We start from the raw sequence: 17138 nt of genomic DNA, 5'->3' as shown, positions 1-17138 counted from the left end.
CCTTCTTCTGAGTGAATTTGGGCAAATCAGTAGCCTCTCTGAGCTTTATTTTTATTTTTATTTTTATTTTTTTGAGACAGAGTCTCGTTCTTGTTGCCCAGGATGGAGTGCAGTGGCATGATCTTGGCTCACTGCAACCTCTGCCTCCTGGGTTCAAGCGATTCTCCTGCCTCAGCCTCCTGAGTAGCTGGAATTACAGGTGTGTGCCACCGTGCCCAGCTAACTTTTTGTATTTTTAGTAGGGAAGGGGTTTCACCATGTTAGCCAGGATGGTCTTGATCTACTGACCTCATGATCCGCCCGCCTCAGCCTCCCAAAGTGCTGGGATTACAGGCATAAGCCACCGCGCCTGGCTATCTATATCTATCTGTCTGTCTGTCTGTCTGTCTGTCTGTCTGTCTGTCTATCTATCTATCTATCTATCTATCTATCTATCTATCTATCTAAATGGAAGTCTTGCTGTATTGCCCAGGCTGGTCTTGAATGCTGGGCTCAAGTAATCTTCTTGCCTCAGCTTCCCAAGTAGCTGGGACTACAGGTGCACACCACTGTGCTTGGCTGAACTTCAATTTTCACAATTTCAAGAATGTTATTAAACTAAGTTACCTGAAAAACTTATGCCTATGACTGATTATAGTGACATTTAAGTGACCTGAGAAATTAATACCTATGACAGGCTATCCCTAACTTAGGTATAATTTCTTGCCTCCCTGCTCATTGCCCTTGCCTTTCATTTCCTTTTTCCTTAAAAAGCTTTGATCCCTAGTGTTTGGTGTCATTGAGGGTTGGGTAAGATATCCAGAGACTTACTTTTCAGTAATACACATTTTTTCACAGAAATATTTCTGTTTAAAGTTGTTTCTGTTGCCTCCACAGCCACTGAAGACAAAGGGCTCACATAAAAATGTCAAAGTGTTGTAGTAGAATCTGGTCAAATATGAATTACAGGTGCCCTTCTTCAGAGGATAGTTGCAGTATTCTGTGAATGAGAATTCCAGAGTCAGGTTTTCTTTACTACTCTTTTGGCATTCTTGTTCTCACAGGCTCAGACTACTAAAACTTCCAACCCACATAAATCTAACTAATTTTACCCCTGGGGAACAAGACAGAGTTCCCTAAGCATATGGGGAAATTGTTCCAGACTACAGACTGGGTCCATGACACAGAAATAGAGAAGCACAATGAGGTTCTTATACTATTTTAGAGCTGAGAACAAGAAAGACCTGAGGTTTCCTTCATCTTTCGCAGTAAAGATATCCCATTTCTTGACTCCACATGCTTCCCATGTCACTGGAAGTGAACAACTCATCAGCTTCCTCAAGGACATAGTTCAGAGCCCTTACTTTCACTCTCTCCTCTCTGCCCGCCAGAGTCTGTGCAAATACACAAGCTAAAAAGACCTCTCACCCACTACACCTACTCTGAAGGACAGGTTTAAAATGTCCACTCTGGCAGATCTTCCTTTCCTCCATCAGTCTATTTCCTCTCCTATCCAGCCCCACTTTTGCCTACCCATCCAGACTCACCTGGTTTTACTGAGACCATGGAGATTAAGTGGTTAGAGCAGAAGCCATGATGACTGAGTTGGAGACAGAGAAAGAGTTAATGTTAGTCTTCTTGAAGCCCAACTACAATTCTTTTTTAAATTTTTTTTTTAATTGAGATGGAGCCTCGCTCTGTTGCCCAGGAGGGAGTGTAGTGGCGCTATCACGGCTCTCACTGCAACCTCTGCTGCCTGGGTTCAAGTGATTCTTGTGCCTCAGCCTCCCAAGTAGCTGGGACTACAGGCATGCGCCACCACACCCGGCTAATTTTTGTATTTTTAGTACAGATGGGGTTTCGCCACATTGGACAGGCTGTTCTCAAACTCCTGACCTCAGGTGATCCGCCTGCCTTGGCCTCCCAAAGTGCTGGGATTACAAGGGTGAGCTACTGCGCCTGGCCGCCCAACTGCAATTCTTATCCATGATTGGGAACTTGCCCCTTTTGCCTTGAGTGTTTCACAGATGCTCATGTTAATTTGAATGAAGAACAAATTAATTTAAATAAGTAGGATAGGAGTGCTCTATACATATATGGGGGAATGATGGCCTCTGCATATCTGTATCAGTGGAATATAACATAGTGGTTCTACACATATGTGTTGAATAGACTCAAAACTCATCTAATGTACAGACACACACCCCAACAAAGGAATTTCTTGGACACCTCTGAAATCAATCCCATTTTCATAACCCCCACTCTTATACTGAAATCTCATGGTTAAAACTTAAGTTGATTCTGCTTTCTGTCTTCCTCCTTCTCCACTCCATAGAGGAAACTCAATGTAATTCTCTGAATCAGATGTCCTAGAGCCATACGGTTTGAGATAAAAAGGAGACTTGATTCTAATTACTGGCAGCAACATCACCCAGGCTGCCCAGACCTCCCTCTCCTTCACAGTGTCACATTGGTCTGCCCTTTCTGTTTTTCTTTACCTCCAAGATGTCCACTTTCACGTAACTGTTTTCTGAGTTGTGGAGGAAATATGTTCCCTGAAGGTGTGTGGAGAAGCATGGACAAGATGAGGAGCCATAGAGAAAAGTGAGCCCATTCAGGCTTCATGATGTTGCAGACAGCAGATAGAAGAATCCCGGACTTGACTGAAATATCTGAAGGGTTAGCTGTCCTTCTCATGTGAGGAGTTGAATTCATATCTCTGATTTTTATCTTTCCAGGGCTTAAGCCTGGGCAGAGTTCTGGTGCATCCAGAATCAGCCTTGTGAGCAGAACAGTTAAGTTCTTGGGTACCCAGCCATGTAGCTTGAAAGACCATGCTTTACCAGAACCCTACTGATTAACCTCAGCCTTCCCCCCTTCTTTCCTCCACATCTAGGGATCATGACCACTATTGCTCGGGACATCAACATCTCTATAATGAACAGTTGTAAATAAATTCTTACCAATGCTTTAATATATACATGTGAATACTTGAAAGCAAATTAACTAAGGCTTGAACCTAAGAAACTGGAACAAAACAGCAAAGTAAGTAAAGAGAAAGTAGAGGATAATTGAAGAAAGTAGTTGAAATTAGTGAATTAGAAAAAAAGAAACACTAAAATTGCCAAATAAAACTAAAAGTTTGTATTTTAAAAATACCATTAAAATAGACAAAACTGCCAATAATGGCTGGAAAAAACATAGAAGAAATAAACACGTTCGGTAATAGAAATGTGAAATGGATAGAACTCAAACACGGAGGAGAGGAAAAATTTACCAGGAAATAGTCTTGCTCCTGATCTTAAAGGAAAACTTTTTAATTTCTCCCATTAAGTATGATGTTATCTCGGGATTTTTCATAAATGTGCTTTTTTAGGTTGAGGAAGTTCTATTCTTAATTTGAGGAGTGTTTTTATCATAAAAGGTTGACAGATTTTTGTCAATTTTTTTTTCTGTGTCTATTGAGTTGATTATGTTGGTTATGCCCTTTGCTCTGTTAAAGTGGTATATTACATTGATTTTTGCATGCTTGAATAACCTGGCATTCTTGGGACAAATTCCATTGGATTTCATTATGGCATATAATCTTTTTTTATATGTGGCTGAATCTTTTTACTAATATTTTTTGAGAATTTTTGTGCCTATATTCATAGGGACTATTGGTCTGTAGTTTTCTTTTTTATGATATCTTTGTCTGTAGTACTGGCCTCATAGAATGAGTTGGAAAGTATTCCATCCTCTTCTATATTTTGGAAGAGTTTGTAAATGATTAGAGTTAATTCTGTAAAAGTTTGGTAGAGTTCTCCATTGAAATCATCTGAGCTTGGGATTTCCTTTGTGGAATATTTTTTGATTAGTGATTTGGTGTCTACTCTTTACAGATCTATTCAGATTTCCCATTTATTTTAAGTCAGTTTTGGTAGTTGTTATCTTTTTAAGAATTCGTTCATTTCATCTAAGTTATCTAATTTTTTAGCATACAGATATTCCCAGGATTCCTTTATAATCATTTTTATTTCTGTATGAGGTAGCGGACGTGTTTGCTTCCACCAAGAGCATGTGCCTTGTCCAGCTTAAGTATGGCTGTCGGTATCCCTGGGCAGCAACCCCTCCTGGCTCAGTGTGGAGACAGGAATCTGCTAGGGCTCTGTAGCCAACTTGCTAGGCCTCAGTCTGTCCAGCACTAGTTTAAGAGTGGGAGAATCTAGCTTCAAACTGCGCCTCTGCTTGTGATCTTGCACAAGCCTCTACCTGGCTTTGGGCTTTGGCACCCATCTTGGCTGATTGATTAAGATGCCCTACAAGTTTCCTTTTAGTTTTGACAATGTTTCCTGTATTCACCTAGGGCAGGGATTCTAAACTGGTTTTAGATATTAGGGGCCTCTTTGAGAATTGTTTGCCCTTTTCTTAGAAACATGCTTGACTGGGTGCAGTGGCTCACACCTGTAATCCCAGCACTTTGGGAGGGGGAGGCAGGCAGATCACTTGAGGCCAGGAGTTCAAGACCAACCTAGCCAACATGGTGAAACCCCGTCTCTACTAAAAATACAAAAATTAGCTGGGCATGGTGGTGTGTGCCTGTAATCCTGGCTACTTGGGAGCCTGAGGCAGTAGAATCGCTGGAACCTGGGAGACAGAGGCTGCAGTGAGCAGAGATCATGCCACTGCACTCCAGCCTAGGTGACAGAGTGAGACTCCATCTTAAAAAAAAAAAAAATTACAATACTGTGAATAGCCACAGCTTAGAAGTTACGAAAGCCCAGTCGAAGCAAGAGATGGGTAGTACTTCATCTAGCCAAAGAGTTCGAAGTGGTTCTGGAAATTTTGGTGGTGGTCCTGGAGGTGGCTTCAGTGGGAATGACAATTTTGGTCGTGGAGGAAACTTCAGTGGTTGTGGTGGCTTTGGTGGCAGCCATGGTGGTGGTGGATATGGTGGCAGTGGGAATGGCTATAATGCATTTGGTAATGATGGAAGTAATTTTGGAGGTAGTGGAAGCTACAATGATTTTGACAATTACAAAAATCAGTCTTCAAATTTTGGAATCATGAAGGGAGGCAACTTTGGAGGCAGAAGCTCTGACCCCTATGGTGGTGGAGGACAATACTTTGCCAAACCACAAAACCAAGGTGGCCATGGAGGTTCCAGTAGCAGTAGTAGCTATGGCAGTGGCAGAAGATTTTAATTACTGCCGGGAAACAAAGCTTAGCAGGAGAGGAGAGCCAGAGAAGTGACAGGGAAGCTACAGGTTACAACAGATTTGTGAATGCAGCCAAGCACAGTGGTGGCAGGGCCTAGCTGCTACAAAGAAGACATGCTTTAGACAAATATTCATGTGTATAGGCAAAAAACTCAAGGACTATATTTGTGACTAATTGAATAACATGTTATTTTAGTTTCAGTTCTGTGGAAAGTATAAAGCATTCCAACAAAGGGTTTTAAAGTAGATTTTTTTTTTGCACCCATGCTGTTGATTGCTAAATGTCATAGTCTGATAATGATGCTGAGTAAATCTGTCTTTTCTTTTTGTAAAATGTACTTCTAGTTATAATTTTTGTTTTAAAGTCTATGTATTAGGGTACTCCAGAGGAACAGAATCAATGAAACAAAACCAATGTTAGGGAATTGGCTTGTGTGATTGTAGGGATGGACAAATCTGAAATTTGCAGGGCATGCTGGCAGGCTGGAGGTTCAGGAATGTGTTGATGTTGCAGTTTTGAGTTCAAAGGCAGTCTGGAGTCAGAATACCTCCTTCCTCTGTGGGACCTCAGCCTATTTCCTCTTAAGGCTTTCAACTGATTGGATGAGGCCCACCTGCATCATGAAGGGTAATCTCTTTTACTCAGTCTACTAATTTAAATATCAATCATATACACACACATATATACATGTATATATATACACATATACATATGTATATGTGTATATATGTATATATATACACATATATATGTATGTATATATACACACATATATGTATGTATATGTACACACATATATGTATGTATATGTACACACATATATGTATGTATATGTATATATATATGTGTGTATATATATGTTTTTAGAGATGGAATCTCACTCTATTGCCAAGGCTGGAGTGCAATGGCGCTATCTCGGCTTACTACAACCTCTGCTGCCTGTGTTCAAGCAATTCTCCTGCCTCAGCCTCCCAAGTAGCTAGGATTACAGGCACCCACAACCACACCTGGCTAATTTTTTGTATTTTTAGTAGAGATGAGGTTTCACTACGTTGGCCAGGCTGGTTTCGAACTCCTGACCTCAGGTGATCCACCCGCTTTGTAATCCCATAGTGCTGGGATTACAGGCATGAGCCACCATGGCCAGCCAGCATCCTAATTTTTCTTTGTAGAACTGCCCTTTCATGTAATGGACTCTCAGTCACAGTGTCCATTATTTCTCATGAGTGTAGACAGAAACAACTCATGAATGGGAGGATTGGGAGCTGTGAGTATTTGGGTAAGAGTGAGGGAGGCCAGGCACGGTGGCTTACGCCTGTAATCCCAGTACTTTGGGAGGCCAAGGTGGGCGGATCACAAGGTCAGGAGATTGAGACCATCCTGGCTAACAAGGTGAAACCCCGTCTCTACTAAAAACACAAAAAATTAGCCAGGCGTGATGGCGGGCACCTGTAGTCCCAGCTACTCGGGAGGCTGAGGTAGGAGAATGACGTGAACCCGGGAGGTGGAGCTTGCAGTGAGCCGAGGTGGTGCCACTGCACTCCAGCCTGGGCGACAGAGTGAGACTCTGTCTCAAAAAAAAAAAAAAAAAAAAAAAAGAGTGAGGGAATCCAGGGTTTTAATGTTCAAGGATTTTGGTTCATATTGGGCAAATCTTAATTCAATTCTCTTATTAGTGTGAAGATTTGCCTTGCTAAGGAAATAAATTATTATTTTCCATTTGGGCATTATAAATGAGAAGGTATTTAAAAGGTCCAGCTAGTATAAATAAAGTATCAATTCTGTTATATATCCTGACACTATAGCTCCATAAGATTAATAACATAAATTCTATGTAGCACCAAATGTAGGGAACCTCAATATAGATATAGCCAGGACATTATCTTTGAAAAAATGTTAAACTTGCATTTTTACCTTTCCAATAACTCTGAATGATTTTGCATATTTGAATTCTATTGTGTTAGTTTTGATCCTGTCCTGCATGTTAGCATAATCAATATACAGATATTTAGTTTCTCTGTTGTATAATATATTGTTAAAGGGAGCCAAATAAGATACGATTCTTTTTTTCAAGGTTTTCATAAAGAAGTTGTATAAAAGAGTTGAAATCTGATTTTATAGTCAATGGGTAGAGGCTAACTGTCTGGTGTTGGCAAGACTACATTCCCCACAGTGTGGAGAAAGGTTAGGACCAGAGCTTTGAGTAAAAGGAATCTGAAGGTGCTGGTTCCATGTTTCCAACAAAGCTAATGTTTTTGCTCCTCCATATCACCAGCTTCATTGTTCCAATTAAGATAAGGCTGGGTGGTGGCAGGGTTGAGTGGCAAAGACCCTAGGCTACAATGGCGGGATAAATATGTTCCCAAGTGCCAGATGCCTTGTGTTCTGCCCGTGTGTGTTGAGAAGGAGGGCTTCCTAATGACAGTATTATTTAAATGTTGGGTTCCTGAAGTGCCTGTATGATCATGTGTGAGTGTGGGAGTGAATATTTTGAGCTGCATGTCCCCAGGGAGAGATGATATGTTCCATTCGAGAGTGTGGGCCTTAAGACATTGAGTGAAAATGTTATGAGATGGAAAACAGTGAGGATCATTAACTTCCTGTTTGTTTGGTAAAGGCCTGTGAAGGAAAGATGCTTGAGAAAATCTTGGAGTACCCATTGAACCCATAAGCAGTTCATTAAAAAAAAAAAAAAAAAGGACTCTACATTTTACCAGGTATACTATGGCCCTAAAGGTGCAAGTAAGTTTTATGAGCAAGTAGATTATATTCCCAGCCCATGAAATATCCCGTTTTTGTTGTGTTGTCACAGAATTTGAAATCCACACTTATGGCTTCTTTGAGAATTCCTGAAGACCAGATGTCTAATGTTGGAAAAATTGTTGCCTGGTTTGCGCAAGTTCTCCAGTGAAATGTGTTTTAGGACTAATTGTAAACAAGCTGCTTTAACTCATTTGCCCTGAAGGACAGCGGGGAATGAAAAATTTCCCAGTAGGCAGAACTTGAGGAAAATGCATTCTTGTCTATTTTACCTGCAAGCAAAGATAGCCTAATTCATGGATTTGGGAGTGGTTGGAATGACCTTGTATTGCAAGGGTAGCGGAATAAGTAAGACTAGAAAGTTGGTGAGAACAAGTTTTAGAGAAGGACAATGTGAATGGAAATTCTATTATGACATATTAATTTGTCAAGAATAATTTATTGACAGCTGGGTGCAATGGCTCACGCTTATAATACCAGCACTTTGGGAGGCTGAAGCAGGAGGATGTCTTAAGCCCAGGGGTAGGAGACCAACCTGGGCAACATAGTGAAACCCTGTCTACACACACACACACACACACACACACACACACACACACACACACAGAATAATTTGTTGGGCCGGGCGCGGTGACTCACGCCTGTAATCCCAGCACTTTGGGAGGCCGACATGGGTGGATCACGAGGTCGGGAGATCGAGACCATCCCGGCCAACAGGGTGAAACCCTGTCTTTACTAAAAATACAAAAATTAGCTGGATATGGTGGCATGTGCTGGTAATCCCAGCTACTTGGGAGGCTGAGGCAGGAGAATCACTTGAACCAGGGAGTCGGAGGTTGCAGTGAGCCGAGATCGCGCCACTGTACTCCAGCCTGGTGACAGAGCAAGACTCCATCTAAAAAAAAAAAATTTGTTGAATAAATGGATCTATAATGTGAGATTATTCATGTTTCATGTAACTGTTTATCAGGGGTCCTCAGTATAGAAGATATCCTTAATAATCAGATGGACCAGATATGTCACTCTGTAAATTCCATCTATCTTCTTGCTCAGGCAGTCCATTAACCAAGTAATGGGCTTGATATAGCCATAGTCTTAGACACAGAAACTGTGCATAAATTTAACCCAAGTGACTTTCAACTTTTAAGTGTCCTTGTTGGTATGATACTAATTTAGTCCCATGTTACAAAAGAACCAAATAGATCATTTGGGACATTTTTCCTCATTACTATGCTGTTATAATGAACTTAGACTCGGTTTTTTATTGTACTTAAATATACATCACATAAAGTTTACCTATTTATTTATTTATTTAGACAGCGTCTCATTCTGTTACCCAGGCTGGAGTGCAGTGGTGCCATCTCAGCTCACTGCAACCTTTGCCTCCCAGGCTCAAGTGATTCTCCTGCCTCAGTGTCCCAAGTAGCTGGGATTACAGGTGTGTGCCATGACACCCACCCAATTTTTAGTAGAGATGGGGTTTCACCATGTAGGCCAGATTGGTCTTGAACTCTGGACCTCAGGTGATCGCCATCCTCAGCCTCCCAAAGTGCTAGGATTACAGGCGTGAGCCACCACACCTGGCCAAATTTACCATTTTAACCATTTTAAAGTGTACATTTCAGTGACATTAAGTACATTCACATTGTTGTGGATTCCTTACCACTGTTCATCTTCAGAACTTGAAAAAAAAATTACCTGGTCCAAAATGTCATGTTTTTCAGGTTTTTTTTTTGAGACAGGGTCTTGCTCTGTCACCTAGGCTAGACTGCAGTGGTGCAGTCATGACTCACTGCAGTTTTGACCACCTGAGCTCAAGTGATCCTCTTGTCTCAGCCTCCCAAAGTGCTGAAATTATGTGTGTGAGCCACCATGCCCAGCCTATACTTTTTTTTTTTTTAAACACAGGATCTCACTCTGGTTGCCCAGGCTGGAATGTAGTGGTGTGATCCCAGCTTACTGCAGGTTTGATCTCCCCCGCTCAGGTGATTCTCCCACCTCAGCCTTCTGAGTAGCTGGGATTACAAGCATGTGCCACCATGCCTGGATAATTTTGTATTTTTAGTAGGGATGGATTTCACTATGTTGCTCAGGCTGGTCTCAAACTCCTGGACTCAAGCAATCTGCTCGCCTCAGCCTCCCAGAGTGCTGGGATTACAGGCATAAGCCACCGTGCCTGACCTAGAATTTTGTAATCATCCCATTAGATTTGCTTTTTTCATCCACCATATCTTGTTAATATCAGCTTTGATGGGCTTGTCCAATACCTTATGGTCATCTTAGCAAATAATACTATATTGTTCCTGCCTGTTTTAGGAACTTACTTCCCACTACAAGAAGTAAGAAAATATATTAGTGCTTATGTATCTACTTACCTAGTGTATTACCATCTCTAGAGGCATATTGTCTTATAAAGTTGAAGATGCAACTATGTTTCAAGGCTGGGGATTTCCCTTGCTGTATGCAGTATAAGCCCTGAGCTTATGTTCTTTGTAGCATCGTCAAAACACATAGGTTTGGGGACCAAGTTGGTGTAGGTAGTATTTAAGATTCTACTTTGTAATAGTTTTGCTTCCCATTCTTATGATTATGCACTCTACTGGTTTGATTGTTTTTGTGTCTAAATGGGGGAATACTTTCATCAAGCAATTAAAAAATGGACCTGTTCAATTCAGAGTTGACATTTATATCTGGCCACTTCAGTCTCTTCATAAGAATAAAAAAATTGACAAAAGATGGGTATTACAGTTTGCCTGCAATTTTTGAAACTGTGAAGATAAAATAGGGTTAATTTTCACCTTAGCTACCTTGAAAAATATATACATATAATTGTACCCCATCTCAGTTGTAAAATATAATGGGAGCCATTAAAGTCCAAAAGATGGGAAAATGTAAAGCCTGCCCAGGCAGTTCTCTCAAAAGCTAATATCACACAGAAATGAAGTTTTACATAAAGAACACAGCTTATTTGTGGTATTGGCTAAACACAAAAGTATGAAATGCATAATAGAGGAGGATTGTTAACGCAAGTCAGCTATTACGGGCTTATAATGAACAGCACAAATAAAGCTACCTGTATTTTCCTAATCATTGTGTTGTAGCATTAATATTTTTCAAGCATTTATTTTTTATTTCTTTTATTGTTTTATATAGGGTATGTTGGTTTATGATATAATTAACCACTTTTTTCACAGTATTTATTGGTAATATACAGATAGAGCTCATTTAGAGATTTTATACTTGTAGCCAGTTGAAGGAGTCGGAGCTGACTTTCGATTGTCTCCCTTTAAGGAGTAGGTAAGTACTTTTTGTGATGTTAGACCAAGGCATTAAACATATTTATGAACAGAAAGGAGAGAGTATATGCATGGAATAGTCAAGGGTTGGGAGGTAGTGAACAGCAGTTGTTTAGGTCTGCTCATCAGTATATTTCACATCTAATAATAGCATTCCAACTTTTCCTTGTAGAATTGTCCTTCCCATTCATAGTGCCCTAAGTTGCCTAAACATATAAACTTGAGAAAATTAAGGATGGGACAGTTGGGGGCTGTGATCATTATTGTAAATCTCGGGGAACTGAGGCATTTTCTACACTGGGATTTGTTTATATTGAGCCATTTTTTGGGCTTTTTAAAAAAAATTCATTTTCGACAAGTTATAGTTGTGTGTGTATCTATATATATATATGCAACTATAACTTGTATATGTTACATATATAGTTTTGTAAACCATATATATAACTATATATACAGTTTTGTAAACCATATATATAACTATATATACAGTTTTGTAAACCATATATATAACTATATATAGTTTTGTAAACCATATATATAACTATATATACAATTTTGTAAACTATATATAACTATATATACAGTTTTGTAAACTATATATAACTATATATACAGTTTTGTAAACTATATATATAACTATATATAGTTTTGTAAACTATAACTATATATATAACTATATATAGTTTTGTAAACTATAACTATATATAACTATATATAGTTTTGTAAACTATAACTATATATATAACTATATATAGTTTTGTAAACTATAACTATATATAACTATATATATAGTTTTGTAAACTATAACTATATATAGGTTTTTTTTTGACTTGGGGTCTTGCTCTGTCACCCAGGCTGGAGTGCAGTGGCATGATCTTGGCTCACACTAGCCTCGATCTCCTGGGCTCAAGCAATCCTCCCCCCTCAGCCTCCTGAGTAGCTGGAATTACAGGTGGGCACCACCACACCCGACTAATTTTGTGTTTTTTTTTTTTTTTTTTTTTTGTAGAGACAATGTCTCACTATGTTGCCCAGGCTGGTCTTGAACTCCTGGGCTCAAGCAATCCTCCTGCCTCAGTCTTCCAAAGTGCTGGGGTTATGGGCAGGAGCCACTGTGTCGAGCTTGTTGTATATATTTATGGGGTACAAAGTGATGTTATAATTTATGATTTGATTGGAATAATCAAATCAACCAAATTAACATATTCATAATCTCAAATACTTATTTTTTTGTGGTGAGAACATTTGAAATCTACTCTTAGTGATTTTGAAGTGCACAATATACTATTATTAACTATATTCACCACATTGTGTTAATAGATCTTGAAAAAATCTTATCCTTCTAGTCTGAGGCTTTGTACCCTTTACAATCATCTCCCCATTTCCCCCAACACTCCAGCCTCTGGTAACCACCATTCTAATTCTGCTTCTATGAGTTTGATTGTTTTAGATTCTACATGTAAGTGAGAACATATGGTATTTGTCTTTCTGTGTAGACTTATTTTAATTTAGGATAATGTTCTTCAGTTTCACCCATGTTGTCACAACTGACTGAATTTCTTTCTTTTTTTTTTTTTCTCTGGAGTGTCTGGTTTATTGAAAATGCTGATCATGGAGCAGGAACCAAATTGTTGGGAACTGTGGGGCTGAACAGGAGAGGGATATCCAGGTATCAGAAGGTAAAAGGAGGTCAGCTGAGCAGCCAGGGCAGCATTAGGACCAGGTTGAGCAGGATGAATTTCTTTTTAAGGGCTGAATAGTATTCCATTGTACATAACTAAACACACATTTTCTTTATCCATTCATTTGTTGATGGAAAGTTAGGCTGATTCCACAACTTGGCTATTGTGAATAGTCGATGCAATGAACATAGGAGTGCAGACATCTCTTCAACATACTGGTTTCAATCTTTTGAGTAAATACCCAGAAGTGGGATTGCTGGGTCATAGGTTAATTCTATTCTAATTTTTTGAGGTGCCTCTATAATGTTGTCCATAATGTCTGTACTAATTTACATTCCTGTTAACAGTGTACAAGGGTTTCCTTTTCTCCGCATCCTGCCAACACTTGATATTTTTCATTTTTTTGACAATGGCCATTCTGACAGGTGTGAGATTGTGTCCGGAATTGGTGGGTTCTTGGTCTCACTGACTTTAAGAATGAAGCCGCAGACCCTCGCGGTGACTGTTACAGTTCTTTTTTTTTGAGACAGAGTCTCGCTCTGTCACCCAGGATGGAGTACAGTGGCGCGATCTCGGCTCACTGCCACCTCTGCCTTCTGGGTTCAAGCGATTCTCCTGTCTCAGCCTCCCGAGTAGCTGGGACTACAGGTGTGTGCCACCACGCCTAGCTAATTTTTTTCTATTTTTAGTAGAGATGGGGTTCCACTGTGTTAGCCAGGATGTTCTTGATCTCCTGACCTCTTGATCCACCCACGTTGGCCTCCCAAAGTGCTGGGATTACAGGCATGAGCCACAACGCCTGGCCTGACTGTCACAGTTCTTAAAGGCGGCATGTCCAGAGTTCGTTCCTTCTGATGTTTGGATGTGTTTGGAGTTTCTTCCTTCTGGTGGGTTTGTGGTCTCGCTGGCTTAGGAGTGAAGCTGCAGACCTTTGTGGTGAGGGTTACAGCTCTTAAGGCGGCATGTCTGGAGTTGTTCATTCCTCCCGGTAGGTTCGTGGTCTCGATGGCATCAGGAGTGAATCTATAGACCTTTGTGGTGAGTGTTACAGCTCATAAAGGCAGTGTGGACCAAACAGTGAGCAGTAGCAAGATTTATTGCAAAGAGTGAAAGAACAAAGCTTCCACAGTGTGGAAGGGGACCTGAGCCGGTTGCCACTGCTGGCTCCAGCAGCCTGCTTTTATTCTCTTATCTGGCCCCACCCACATCCTGCTGATTGGTCCATTTTACAGAGAGCCGATTGGTCTGTTTTAAACAGAGCTGATTGGTCCATTTTGACAGGGTGCTGATTGGTGTATTTACAATCCCTGAGCTAGACACAAAAGTTCTCCATGTCCCCACTAGATTAGCTAGATACAGAGTGCTGATTGGTGTATTTACAAACTCTGAGCTAGACACACAGTGCTGATTGGTGCATTTACAAACCTTGAGCTAGATACAGAGTGCTGATTGGTGTATTCACAATCCCTTAGCTAGACATAAAGGTTATCCAAGTCCCCACCAGATTAGCTAGATAGAGAGTGCCGATTGGTGCATCCACAAACCCTGAGCTAGACACAGAGTGCTGATTGGTGTGTTTACAATCCCCTAGCTAGACATAAAGGATCTCCAAGTCCCCACTAGACTCAGGAGTGCAGCTGGTTTCACCCAGTGGGTCCCGCTCTGGGGCCGCAGGTGGAGCTGCCTGCCGGTCCCGCGCCATGCGCCCGCACTCCTCAGCCCTTGGGCAGTCGATGGGACCGGGAGCCATGGAGCAGGGGGCGGTGCCCATCAGGGAGGCTCCGGCTATGTGGGAGCCCACTGTCGGGGGCTTAGGCATGGTGGGCTGCAGGTCCCAAGCCCTGCCCCATGGGGAGGCGGCCGAGGCCCAGCGAGAATTTGAGTGCAGCGGAGGTGGGTCGGCAGCGCTGGGGGACCCGGCACACCTTCTGCAGCTGCTGGCCCAGGTGCTAAGCCCCTCATTGCCCAGGGCCGGCGGTGCCGGCCGGCCACTCCAAGTGCAGGGCCTGCTGAGCCCACACCCACTCGGAACTCACGCTGGCCCACGAGTGCCACATGCAGCCCTGGTTCCTGCCCGTGCCTCTCCCTCCACACCACCCCGCAAGCAGAGGGAGCCAGCCCCAGCCTCGGCCATCCCAGAGAGAGGCTCCCACAGTGCAGCTGCAGGCTGAAGGGCTTCTCAAGCACAGCCAGAACAGACACCGAGGCCAAGATAGCACTGAGAGCGAGCGAGGGCCACCAGCATGTTGTCACCTCTCAAGATGATACTCATTGTGGTTTTAATTTGCATTTTTCTAATGGTTAGGAACATTGAGCTTTTTTTTTGTATATCTGTTGGCCATGTGTGTGTCTTCTTTTGAGAAACATTCAGGTCCCTTGTCCATTTTTTAAATGGGGTTGTTTTCTTGCTAAAGAGTTGTTTGAATTCCTTATGTATTTTGAATATTAGCCCCCTATGAAATACATGGCTTGCAGGTATTTTCTCCGAAACTGTAGAGCATCTGTTCACTCTGTTAGTTGTTTCCTTTATTGTGCAGAAGCTTCTTAGTTTAATGTAATCCCATTTGTCTATTTTTGCTTTTGTTGCCTGTGCTTTTGAGGCCAAATCTGAAAAATCATTGCCCAGACCAATGTCCTGTAGTTTTTTTCCCCTCTGTTTTCTTGTAGTAGTTTTACAGTTTCAGGTCTTCTGTGTAAGTCTTTTTTTTTTTTTGAGACAGAGTTTTGCTTTTGTTGCCCAGGCCAGAGTGCAGTGGCATGATCTCAGCTCACTGCAACCTCTGCCTCCCATTATGTGTATAAGTCTTTAACCCATTTTAGTTCATTTTTGTATATGGTGTGAGATAAGGGTCCAATTTCATTCTTCTACATTTGGATATCCAATTTTCCCAACACCATTTATTGGAGAGACTTTCCTTTTCCTATTGTGTATTTTTGGCACCTTTGTTGAATGTCAAATGACTGTATATGTATGAGTTCATTTCTGCACTCTTTATTCTATTGGTCAATGTGTCTATTTTTATGTCAGTGCCATTTTTATCACTTTGTAGTATAGTTTGAAATTAGTAGTATGATGCCTCTACGTTTTTTTTTTTTTTTTCCCTCATGATTGCCTTGGCTATTTTTTTTGTGGTTCCATATGAATTTGGGATTTTTTTCTTATTTATGTGAAGAATGACATTGGGATTTTGATAGAGATGGCAATGACTATGTAAATTGCTTTGGGTAGATGAATATTTCCACGATATTAATTCTTCCATCCCATAAACATGGGATATCTTTCCATTTATTTGTGTCTTCTTTAATTTCTTTCATTAATGTTTTATAGGGTTCCATGTACAGGTCTTTTATCTCCTTGTTTATATTTATTTCTGATTATTTTATTCTTTAGTAGCTATTATAAATGGGATTGTTCTTTTGTTTTCTCTTTTGGATAGTTCATTATTAGTGTATAGAAATGCTAATGATCTTTTTGTGTTGATTTTGTATCCTACAACTTTACCATATTCATTTATTAGTTCTAACAGTTTTTTGGTGGAATCTTTAGGGTTTTCTATATATAAGATTGTGTAATCAGCAAATACCAACAATTTTACTTGTTCCTTTCTTATTTGATGCCCTTTTTTCCCTCTTGACTAATTGCTCTGGCTGGGACTTTCAATAATATGTTGAATAGAAGTAGGAAGAATGGACATCCTTGTCTTGTTCTGGATTTCAGAGGAAAGGCTTTCAATTTTTCACTGTTTAGTATAATGTTTCCTGAGGACTTGTCATATATGGCCGTTATTGTGTTGAGATATATTCCTTTTACACCCAATTTGTTGAGAGTTTTTTTTTATCATGAAAGGGTGTTGAGCCATTTTAAAATTGTTATTTATGACTGGTACCTGGAACCTTTTGTATACTACTCATGGTTTTGTATTAAGTAGATAAATTCTTTTTTCTCTTGAAACTTTATTTTTTAATTCCCCCAACTGTATTGAAGTATAATTGACAAATAAAAATTGTATATATTTGAGGTGTACAATGTAATGTTTTAATATATATGTGTGTATATATATATATACTATATACACACATGCATACATATACACATTGCAAAGTGATTACTATGGTCAAAATAATTAACATATCTATCACCTCATGTAGTTTTTTTGTGGTGAGAACATTTAAACTTTATACTCTTAGTTCGATGCTCTGAATGTTCATATACCCTCAAATA

At 40.4% G+C, this 17138-nt stretch overlaps 2 pseudogenes; one reads left to right on the top strand and one right to left on the bottom strand.

The window, feature by feature from the left end:
* On the bottom strand, positions 825-979 carry SPINT5P (serine peptidase inhibitor, Kunitz type 5, pseudogene; annotated as a pseudogene).
* Positions 4695-5525, top strand: HNRNPA1P3 (heterogeneous nuclear ribonucleoprotein A1 pseudogene 3; annotated as a pseudogene).

This window comes from Homo sapiens, chromosome 20 (genome assembly GCF_000001405.40).
Source record: "Homo sapiens chromosome 20, GRCh38.p14 Primary Assembly".
Lineage (NCBI taxonomy): Eukaryota > Metazoa > Chordata > Mammalia > Primates > Hominidae > Homo > Homo sapiens.
Note: the sequence above shows the minus strand (reverse complement) of the source record. Positions and strands in the feature narration are given on the sequence as shown.